Source organism: Homo sapiens, chromosome 9 (genome assembly GCF_000001405.40).
Source record: "Homo sapiens chromosome 9, GRCh38.p14 Primary Assembly".
NCBI lineage: Eukaryota > Metazoa > Chordata > Mammalia > Primates > Hominidae > Homo > Homo sapiens.
Window position 1 is genome coordinate 15,780,165 of NC_000009.12, and position 12,113 is coordinate 15,792,277.

A 12,113-nucleotide genomic window follows, 5' to 3' on the forward strand; every position below is an offset into this window, starting at 1 on the left:
AAAGGGCAAAGAGTTCCTATGAATTAGGCAGGTCAAGTAATCATGAATTACTCTTAAGCCATAGGTTTCTTTTCGGTAAATGTCTAAAGACACCATAATTTTTCCTTCTCTTAGTTTTTTGCTCAGAGAAGGAAAATTTAAGAGATGAGCTGCTTCAACTTTTTTTTTTCTAATTATGAAAGTTATACATGACAACCTTAAGTAAAAATACAAGAAAGTATTAAGAAGAAAGTTTAGACTGGGTATGGTGGCTCATGCCTGTAATCCCAGTGCTTTGGGAAGCCAAGGTAGGAAGGTTACTAGAGGCCAGGAATTCAAGACCAACCTGGGCAACATAGTGAGACCGCATCTCTAAAAAAAAAATTATATTTATTTTAAAAACGAGGAAAGTTAAAATCATTTTAATCTTACCACCCAAAACCAATCACTGTTGAAATGTGGATGCATTTTGTTCTCCACATTTCGTGTGTATATATGTGCCTGTGCATGCCTTTATGCACAGTTGTAGTTTGGAATAATTTTGTATGTATAGTTTGCAGCCTGACTTATATAAATATATGTATACATGTATGCACTTAAAGTACTGTAATCATTTTCCTCTGTCATTTAATTATTAATTTCATTTTAGTTAAATGAATACTAGTGTGTCATATGAATGTATCAAAATTTGAGTATTTCCCTTTTCTTAGATATGTGATTTTTTTCCATTTTTTGCCATTTTACTTAAATAATAAAGAGATGTTTATACTTTTAAAAACGAATTCTTTTGAAGCATGTCTCTCCTTCCGTTTGATTTGCTTCTGTATCATAGAAATAGTTGAATTTGGGATATTGAGATAGTCTACCAAAATGGACACAGACAGTCATTTATGCAATTTGAGATTTAGAGTATAGTCAACTGTATTTAGATTTAGATAATAATGGCTTTTGTAAAAACTGGAAAATTCCTTACATATGTTGCTCCCTGGAATATATACGAAGAATTCTAAATATTCTACACAATTTGATTTCCTAGTCCATAGTTAAGTATTAAGAAAACAAGTTTGCATCTTTGATTAGTTTAGAAGTAGTCAGGACTTAATTTCTAGAATCTAGAGAGAAGATTAGAGTTTGAGGGAAGGTTAGTGGAAGGTGACAGAATCCTCTTGTAAGAGCTTTGAATAACTGGCTTTCAGTAATTAAGAGTATGTTTGAGGAAGTGCAGGAATAAAAATAGCATAGTAATTGAGGGAAGAGGTACTTAATTTTTACTTTATTTTACCTTATTTTTTGAGATGGAGTCTCGCTCTGTCACCCAGGCCGGAGTGCAGTGGTACGATCTCAGCTCACTGCAGCCTCCACCTCCCAGGTTCAAGGAATTCTCCTGCCTCAGCAGTAGTTGGTGTTACAGGCGCCCACCACCACGCTCAGCTAATTTTTTGTATTTTTAGTAGAGACAGGGTTTCACCATGTTGGCCAGGCTGATCTCAAACTCCTGACCTCAGGTTATCTGCCTACCTCAGCCTGCCAAAATGCTGGGATTACAGATGTGAGCCACCACACCTGGCCAGTACTTAATTTTTATATATTGTCCTATAATTATAAGTTATGAAGTACGTGACGATTTCTAACATTTAGTGATCGTGTTGACCAGGTATCAGACACTGACCCTAAGCACGTTACAGACGTTGACTCATTTGGTCCTTATAATTATCTCACATACTATTATTATTTCTAATTTACAGATGGGGCTTTTGGAGCAGATAGAAACTAAGTAGCTTGCCTGGAGTCATATAGTTATTAATGGAAATGACAGACTTTGAACTTGGTTCCTGTGGCTCTAAAACTCATGCTTTTATCCACTTCATTACAGTGGTTAGTGTTGATACCTAGGTGTGCTAATAAAGGGTTGTTATATTAAAAACATAATAGATGAAGAAAAGATGGTAGTTTCCTCTAAGAAAATTGGAGAGAGTGCCTGCAACCATTTGTCTCTCGCTCATTTCAGAAAAAGTGTATTGGAGAGAATAAAACAGCTTCTTTATAGTTGGTCTAAAATTATGAAGGGAAACATCCTGCTCACCGAAAGCTATTTAGTACTTTAATGGTTTTGGAATACTGTGTCCATCTACTGACAGTCGTTCTTTAACAGCTAACTTCCCCAGTCTCATGATCTTTGTTTATTAGCTCCTTACACTTGCTTTCACACACCATCTCTTTCTTATTCTGCGTTGCTATACTTGCTTGATTTTATTTACTTTACAGAGGAATAAACAGAATTGAGCCAGTCTCTGGGACGGATGGATGGACAAGAGAGGCTAAAATTACCTGAGTTTTTAGGTAAAGGGGAAATTTTGGAGGATTGTGAAGGGAACACACGTTCTGTTAAAACAAGGAAGTCCTGCAAAATGGTGGGGATGTTGATGGAAAGATCTTTATTCACTTGATGGTCAAGTGGATTGAAAAGGACAGAATGGTCTCATGGCAAGGAGTGGTAATTTAAAACAACACATTGAAGATAGAAGAGGTACAAAAATATATGTTCACAAGACCCAGCGCATAGAGGGATGTTAATAAATAGAAATATAACTGGAGTGCTGAGAGGAGACTGTTAGATTAGATGTTTTGAAAGCTGAGGGTTTGGTTGTAATAGCACAATGTGGAGAGTTCGGCAGCTGTTAAACAGCGAGTAAAAAGTTGAGTGTTCTGTATAATCCCAGCACTATGCAAGTATCAGTGACATATTAGATATACCTTTTACTAGGTGACTCTCTGAAAATGAGGCAACTTTCCTGTGTGTCTTGTGATCATTCTCATTAATTTATATTAACTTAGGTAAATCATTAGACATCTGTTTTTATGCTACACTATTGGCTTTTAAAATTTCTTCATTGTTGAGAAATGCACTCTTAAATTTTTGAGGAATGCACCCTTAAAAAGAGAAATGAGTTTTAAAAGACAGTTGCTTCATAGAAGTGGCAGGCAGGGTACCTGGTGCCAAAATAAAACTGAGTGCTTATGTATTATGATATAGAAGGACCTATGTAATTGATTTATCCTAAAACTTAGTTTCAGCAAAAGTCTTTCTCTTTATATGAATTGCATGCTTGCTGTTGTTGGCCCACGAGGAAACTGTGACTATGCACATTTCTATTTTTGTCTTATTTGTCAGAAAAATAAAAGACAAAGTCTGTATTCAGTTACAATAGTTACTAGATGCTTAGAATCAAAAGGATTTTTTTCACTGCTTTTTCCTCCCAGATTTGTTAAAATTTCAAATCAACCTGCTTTATATTTGTGGCGAATGATATTAATCCACCTCACATCCTTTTTTACAATGGGAAAGTTAGAATTTTTAAATAGATACATGTATAACTTGTGTATTTAAGTGGCCTGAATCGTTCCTTTGAGTTTTCCACATATATTTCTCAGGTTATCTACCTTTTGTGAAACCTTCCTCTTTTTTATACTTCACGATGTCTCTGTTGTTTGTTGTATCTAGATTTCATTTGTTTAAATGTTTTGAACAGGAGATAATACAAGCTTGTCTTGCCTTGGATTCTCCATCCCTGTCTAGAACTGTCATTAGTTATTCCAGAGCAGAGTACTGTGCCCTCCAAAGCAGTCATGATATTGTAAAAACCATGTTGTGTGTTATGGTGTAGATTTTGTTGGCAGATGTGTATATATGAGTATTATTTCATTCAACAAATATTGAACACTCACTGAGTGCCAGGCACTCTTCTCTATGTTGGATGAAAAGCTAAATGAAGCCCCTGCTTTGGGGATGCTACACCTTTATATGTGTGGTTGGTGGCAGGGTGTGGACAGGCAATAAAAAAAGTGAGATGAATTTAGATAATGACAATGGCTGTGAAGAAAATAAAACAAGATGGTATAATAGAGTGATTGGGAGTTGGAGAGGTGTAGTCATGTAAGACCTGCCTAGGAGAAGATATTTGACCGGGAGACCTGAATAATAACATACGCTGAACACAAACTTCTAGGTGATCACTTAAAAGCCAAGGAATTTGTTAAAGGTTTTAATTCCCACAATCATAATCTTTATAAAAAGTGCTCATGTATGAAAATTTAAACTGAGCATCATGGATTCATATGGAATTTAAAATGAGTTTTCTAAGATTTTATTTGACTGAAAATGATAACTAAGTGTGGCTGTTTTGCTTTAAAAATCACAGTAGTATTTTTATCTTGACTTATGCAATTAAGAAAAGCTAATTGTATTTTTTTAATGTATCAAGTGCCTAGAAATGTTTGTATTATATTCCTTTAGTTTTGAAGGTGAAATGATACAACAATGCAGTTAGCTTTATAACTGATTCTCCCCTCTCCTCCTTTTTACAGAAATTGATCACCCATGAGAAGTTTGAAAGTGCATGTGAAGAACTAAATAATGCATTACTTCGGGAAGAGCAGGCACAAATGCTATTGAATGAACAGGCACAACAACTACAGGAATTGAATTATAAACTTGAATTGCACTCCAGTGAGGAAGCTGACAAAAACCAAACTCTTGGAGAAGCTGTTAAGGTAAGAGAATAAAGGGATATTTGCATAAAGGGATATTTTATCTATGTGTGGATCTTAGAGGGAATTATGATATCTCCTGAATAGGAATAGATCCCAAGATGTAAAATTTTATTCTATGAGGATAGAATGAAACATGTTTCTGAGACCTCAGTTATAAGCCTGCATTCACATGCATCGAGAAGGTAAAAGTAGGCTTTACTTGCTGGTTGAAAACGAAGTGAAGGTCTTTTCCAGTAATAATAACAATTATTATTAACAATAAAATTAACAATAAATTTTTGTTTCTTTTATCTTCTTTATTTCTTCCTCTCTTTAGAATTTTCCTTTTCTTGTTTTGTACCCAATGGACTTTGGAAACTCCACACATCTTTTGGATTCTGGAAGGTTTTGGTCTGGGTCTGATTCTTATATAAGTACATATTTGGGGAGAAGGGAGGTTTGGTTAGAAAGAGTTGTTCTCTCTGTCATATATTTGTGGTAAAGGTATTTCAAAGGAAAAAGAGAAGCTATCATTTAAAAGTTGTCACTGAGAAAATTTCATTAATGGGTTTAAATGTTGCCTACAAAGTATAATAGAATTCTAGTTTTTGATTATAAAACTTGTGGATTTTTCACTAGTGAGATTATATACGTTGGAATGGAACTAAATCCAGGGAAACAAAAATGATATAGCCACTATATAGGATATCATACTTAATACAGTTAATCAACTCAGAGTTGGTATTAACTTATACAAATAATATCTATTTATTCTGATATCTTAATAATACTATTATGATCAATGATAAAATAGCCAAAATTTATTGTTAACTTCCTGTTTACCAGGCACTATGCTAACTACTTTAAAACACTTATGTACTCCTCACACAAACTGTATGGGATTATAAAACACTTAGGTACTCCTCACACAAACTGTATGGGATTATAAAACACTTAGGTACTCCTCACACAAACTGTATGGGATTATTCCTGTTTTATAAATGAGAAAACAGATACAGAGAGGTGACATAACTTACACATTTCTTAGTAAGTAATATATCTAGGGAGTCAGATTTCACATCTGTCTTCCTAACCACCACATCATATGTTCCACTGATTGACAGCATGCATTTGCCAGGCTCTGTGTTACTGTCTCTACATGAATTACTCATTTTAAACTACCTCTGTGAGGTAGGTACTATTATTATGATTTTGATTTTTTTTTTTGTTTAAATTTAGAGACTTCAATAAACTTGCCCAGGGTATCCTGTAAATGTTGAAACTGGGATTTAGTTTTCAGGAAAATTAGAAAATTTTGAAATCTAAAGCAGGAAAATACACGTGAATTTAAAGAGGAAAATATAGATGTCCTTTACGAAGAGGAATAAACGACCAGGATGGTATTAGTATTTTAGAGTATGTTTTTCCAAATACATGTATTAAATTGAACCATTTGAAATTGCTGTTTTTATAAGTGAAAACTAGACAAATGCCAGGAATTTCAAATGGCTCAACCTAATGCATATTATTTTTCTTACATAAATGAGAATGTACCTATATACTGTTTTGAAACTTACTTGTATTACTTAGTAATAGATTGTGAGCATTCTTGCTTACCAACCGATATGACTGTGAATTTTTTTCACTTTTTTACACAAGTAATAAATATTCATTGTGGAAAAATAAGAAAATATAGATGAAGAAAAATTAAAATAATCTCAAATCATATCACCTGATATATCTACCATCAACATTTTGATATATATATTCCAGACTTTATGTTTTAAAAATATAGAAATATAACTGAATATAGGTTAATAAAAATACAATCATACTATTATACATATTGTTTTTTACTTACTTCAAACACCATGTCAAGGATTTCTTTCTATGCTAATAAGTATAGTGGTATCTGTCAGGCCTCTGAGCTGAAGCTCAGCCATTGAAACATCTGTGACCTGCACATATATGTCCAGATGGCCTATAGGAGCCAAGAAGTCTGGAGCAGCTGAAAAACCACAAAAGAAGTGAAACAGCCAGTTCCTGCCTTAACTGATAACCCACCTTACGACATTCCACCATTATGACTTGTTCCTGCCCTATCCTAACTGATCAATCAACCTTATGACATTCTTCTCCAGGACAATGGGTCTCATGATCTCCCCACCATGCACCTTTTGACCCCTCCCCTGCCGACAACAGATAACCACCTTCAACTGTAGCTTTCCACTGCCTACCCGAGTCCTACAAAGCTGCCCCTCTCCTATCTCCCTTCACTGATTCTCTTTTTGGACTCAGACCACTTGCACCCAAGTGAATAAACAGCCTTGTTGCTTACACAAAGCCTGTTTAGGTGGTCTTCTATATGGACACGCGTGACAGTATCATCATTTCCTGGCTGGTTGAATTCTTTTGGATGTATATTTTTTCTTTTTCTTTTTAACTGACAAATAATTGCATACATTTAGGGTGTATTTTGATGTTTTGCTACATGTATGCATTGTGGAATGATCAAATCAGGCTAACATTCATCTTTTCACATACTTATCATTTCTTTGTGGTGATAATCCACTTTTTTTTTTACCATTTTGAAATATACATTATTATTAACTGTACTCACCTTGCTGTGCAATAGATCACCAAAATTTATTCTTTCTGTCTAGCTGAAACTTTGTACCCTTTGATTAACATTTGCCCATCCCCACTCACAGCTTCTGGTAATCACTTCAATGTACTGTACATAATTTATTAACCTAATTTAATATTATAGACTTAGATTTATCCCAGCTTCTTCCTCCTCCTACTCCTCCACCTCCTCTTCCTTCTCTCACTCCTTTCCCTCCTCTTCTTCCTTTTTTTCTCTTCTGTTTCTCCGTCTCCTTTTGCTATTATAAGTAAGTATCAAGATGAACAACCTGGTATCTAAATGTTACGCACATATCTGTGATTATTTCATCAGGATGAATTCCTAGATGAGGAATTACTAGGTTAGAAACCACATACATTAAAAAATGTACATGTTATCAATTGGCCTACAGCAAGTTTCTACTGATTACATTCTCTCCTAAGATATATGAGAATGGCAACTTTGGCCCTACCTGGCTATTACTATTTAAAACATTTTTGACAGTTTGGTAGATATGTCCTTGTTACTTTAATTTGTATTTCTTTTATTATCAGTGGAGTTGAAAATTTTTATAAGCATATTGGTCATTAAACAACATTTTTATGATTCATGTCCTATTAATAGATAATGTAATGAACTGTGCTTTGGAAAAGCATCTTTGTCATTTTGAAGTCTTTTTCTCTGTTATAGTTTGTGTTTAGGTATAATATCTTTACGCAGATAAAGAGCTGTTCATGTTAATTTTTTTAAATTGCCAGTAGCTTAAATATTGTTGTCAGGAATGGAGAATTGTTTAATTACTATCTCTTAATTAGAACTAGCAGGTGGTAATGTGAAAATGCTCTCTTGTGGGAGGCAACATGGTTCAATGGGAAAAGCACTGGCCTTGGAACAAGTATTCCTGAATTCAAATCCCAGCTCTGTTGCTTGGGCAAATTACTTAACCTTCTGAGCCTCAGTTTCCTCTTCTGCAGAAATAAGGATAATGATACTTAAGTTACAGGATGTTTATGAGAATGAATTAAGATTCTATTTGAAAAGCAAGTGTATACTTGTTAAATATTCGGTTGTGTTTTCAGTAATGCTTTAAAAAATAGTTCTTTTTTAAATATGTCCTGTGCATAACTTCTTTTAAAAAACAAAGTGTATTGTTTCTTCTTTTTAAAAACAAAATAAGATCATGAGTAGAAGATATGGATACAGAAAAAAAAAACAAGCTATCTATGATTTATAATCTGAAAGCAATCACTTAACATTTTGGGAATTTTGTTTTAAATCATATGTTTTTGTTTTTTTTTTTTTAAAGACAGGGCCTCACTCTGTTGCCCAGGCCACGACCTCCTAGGCTTAAGTAATTCTCCTGCCTCACCCTATCAAGAAGCTGGGTCTACAGACACATGCCACCACACCCTGCTAATTAAAAAAATTTTTTTGTAGAGATGGAAACTGCCTATGTTGCCCAGTCCTGGTCTCAAACTCCTGAGTTCAAGCGATCCCCTTGTCTTGGCCTCCCAAAGTGCTGGGATTACAGGTGTGAGCCACTGTGTCCAGCCTAAATCATTTCTTTATATGTAATAGTTTTTATAAATAATAATTTAGACTGGATTCTCAGAATGGCCTTTTGTTTTAATACAGCTAAATCTTGGATTAGACATTCCCTGCAATAAATGCACTGCATTTATTGCATAAATGCACATAAAGGAAATCTCCAAGGACAAAAATAAAACAAATGACAATATTGTCAAACGTCAGTATGTGGAAATCAAAGTTAACACCGTGAGTAGTTGCTAGGTTTGTCCTGGAGGCAGATACAGGTTGAGCATCCCTAATTTGAAAATCCAAAATCCAAAATGCTCTAAAATCAAACTTTTTGAGCACTGACATGACACTCAAAGTAAATGCTCATTGGAGCATTTTGGATTTCAGATTATCAGATTTGGGATGCTCAACCAGTAAGTATATAAATAATACAAACTTTCCAAAATGCAAAAATATTCAAAATCTGAAATACTTCTGGTCCTGAGCATTTTACATAAGGGATGCTCAACCTATACCAATATTAATCCTGGAAATAGGAGATTAAGCTTTGGGTTCCACCAGCAGATAGGAGCTTGAACCTAAAGCTCCGACATTAAGAAATTGCTTAATAACCTGAAAGTGATAATCAATAGTATTCCATTGTTTTAAGCAAAAGCTAAGGCAAAAGTCTATCTGGAAAAAGGCTTGCCTAATCTAGTTCCTTCAGAAGCCAACAAAGAGTAAGATCAACGAAGTAACTGACACATGAATAGATAGATATATTAATCTTTTTTTAAATTATACTTTAAGTTCTAGGGTACATGTGCACAACGTGCAGAGTTGTTACATATGTATACATGTGCCATGTTGATGTGCTGCACCCATTAACTAGTCATTTACATTAGGTATATCTCCTAACGCTATACCTTCCCCCTCCCCCCACCCTACGACAGTCCCCGGTGTGTGATGTTCCCCTTCCTGTGTCCAAGTGTTCTCATTGTTCAGTTCCCACCTACGAATGAGAACATGCGGTGTTTGGTTTTTTGTCCCTGCAATAGTTTGCTGAGAATGATGGTTTCCAGCTTCATCCATGTCCCTATAAAGGACATGAACTCATCCTTTTTTATGGCTGCATAGTATTCCATGGTGTATATGTGCCACCTTTTCTTAATCCAGTCTATCATGGTTGGACATTTGGGTTGGTTCGAAGTCTTTGCTATTGTGAATAGTGCCCAATAACATACGTGTGCATGTGTGTTTATAGCAGCATGATTTATAATCCTTTGGGTATATACCCAGTAATGGGACGGCTGGGTCAAATGATATTTCTTGTTCTAGATACTTGAGGAATTGCCGCATTGTCTTCCACAATGGTTGAACTAGTTTACACTCCCACCAATGGTGTAAAAGTGTTCCTGTTTCTCCACATTGTCTTCAGCACCTGTTGTTTCCTTTTTAATGATTGCCATTCTAACTGGTGTGAAATGGTATCTCACTGTGGTTTTGATTTGCATTTCTCTAATGGCCAGTGATGATGAGCATTTTTTCATGTGTCTGTTGGCTGCATAAATGTCTTCTTTTGAGAAGTGTCTGTTCACACCCTTTGCCCACTTTTTGATGCGGTTGTTTGTTTTTTTCTTGTAAATTTGTTTGAGTTCTTTATAGATTCTGGATATTAGCCCTTTGTCAGATGAGTAGATTGCAAAATTTTTCTCCCATCCTGTAGGTTGCCTGTTCACTCTGATGGTAGTTTCTTTTGCTGTGCAGAAGCTTTTTAGTTTAATTAGATCCCATTTGTCAATTTCGGCTTTTGTTGCCATTGCCTTTGGTGTTTTAGACATGAAGTCCTTGCCCATGCCTATGTCCTGAATGGTATTGCCTAGGTTTTCTTCTAGGGTTTTTATGGTTTCAGGTCTAACATTTAAGTCCTTAATCCATCTTGAATTAATTTTTGTATAAGGTGTAAGGAAGGGATCCAGTTTCAGCTTTCTACGTATGGCTAGCCAGTTTTCTCAGCACCATTTATTAAACAGGGAATCCTTTCCCCATTTCTTGTTTTTGTCAGGTTTGTCAAAGATCAGATGGTTGTAGACATGTGGTATTATTTCTGAGGGCTCTGTTCTGTTCCATTGGTCTATATCTCTGTTTTGGTACCAGTACCGTGCTGTTTTGGTTACTGTAGCCTTTTAGTGTAGTTTGAAGTCAGGTAGCGTGATGCCTCCAGCTTTGTTCTTTTTGCTTAGGATTGTCTTGGCGATGCGGGCTCTTTTTTGGTTCCATATGAACTTTGAAGTAGTTTTTTCCAATTCTGTGAAGAAAGTCATTGGTAGCTTGATGGGGATGGCACTGAATGTATAAATTACCTTGGGCGGTATGGCCATTTTCACGATGTTGATTCTTCCTATCCATGAGCATGGAATGTTCTTCCATTTGTTTGTGTCCTCTTTTATTTCCTTGAGCAGTGGTTTGTAGTTCTCCTTGAAGAGGTCCTTCACATCCCTTGTAAGTTGGATTCCTAGGTATTTTATTCTCTTTGAAGCAATTGTGAATGGGAGTTCACTCATGATTTGGCTCTGTGTTTTTCTTATTGGTGTATAAGAATGCTTGTGATTTTTGCACATTGATTTTGTATCCTGAGACTTTGCTGAAGTTGCTTATCAGCTTAAAGAGATTTTGGGCTGAGGTGATGTGGTTTTCTAGATATACAATCATGTCATCTGCAAACAGGGACAATTTGACTACCTCTTTTCCTAATTGAATACCCTTTATTTCTTTCTCTTGCCTGATTGCCCTGGTCAGAACTTCCAACACTATGTTGAATGGGAGTGGTGAGAGAGGGCATCCCTGTCTGTGACAGTTTTCAAAGGGAACTCTGCTGCTGATACCCGGCAAACAGGGTCTGGAGTGGACCTTCAGCAAACTCCAACAGACCTGCAGCTGAGGGTCCTGACTGTTAGAAGGAAAACTAACAAACAGAAAGGACATCCACACCAAAACCTCATATGTACGTCACCATCATCAAAGACCAAAGGTAGATAAAACCACAAAGATAGGGAAAAAACAGAGCAGAAAAGCTGAAAATTCTAAAAATCAGAGCACCTCTCCCCCTCCAGAGGAACGCAGCTCCTCACCAGCAATGGAACAAAGCTGGATGGAGAATGACTTTGATGAGTTGAGAGAGAAGGCTTCAGATGATCAAACTTCTCCGAGCTAAAGGAGGAAGTTGGAACCCATCGCAAAGAAGCTAAAAACCTTGAAAAAAGGTTAGACGAATGGCTAACTAGAATAACCAATGCAGAGAAGTCCTTAAATGACCTGATGGAGCTGAAAACCATGGCACAAGAACTACGTGATGAATGCACAAGCTTCAGTAGCTGATTTGATCAACTGGAAGAAAGGGTATCAGTGATTGAAGATCAAATGAATGAAATGAAGTGAGAAGAGAAGTTTAGAGAAAACA

The 12,113-nt window shown here is 35.8% G+C and overlaps 1 protein-coding gene and 1 long non-coding RNA gene across 36 annotated transcripts in view; both read left to right on the forward strand.

Moving 5' to 3' along the window:
• Window positions 1-12,113, forward strand: part of CCDC171 (coiled-coil domain containing 171) — a 556,042-nt gene that overhangs the window by 227,280 nt on the left and 316,649 nt on the right. For all 35 annotated transcript variants that reach the window (XR_007061261.1, XR_001746227.3, XR_001746228.3 and 32 more), the window contains one exon: window positions 4,345-4,530. Coding sequence is in view for 30 of the 35 variants with exons in the window: in XM_047422930.1 (XP_047278886.1) it covers window positions 4,345-4,530 (186 nt within the window). In the remaining 5 variants the exon portion in view is untranslated. The remainder of the gene's footprint in view (window positions 1-4,344; window positions 4,531-12,113) is intronic.
• LOC107987049 (uncharacterized) lies at window positions 4,540-5,497 on the forward strand. The gene is made up of 2 exons (XR_001746625.1): window positions 4,540-5,385; window positions 5,427-5,497. It is a non-coding gene; the product is annotated as an uncharacterized LOC107987049 (long non-coding RNA).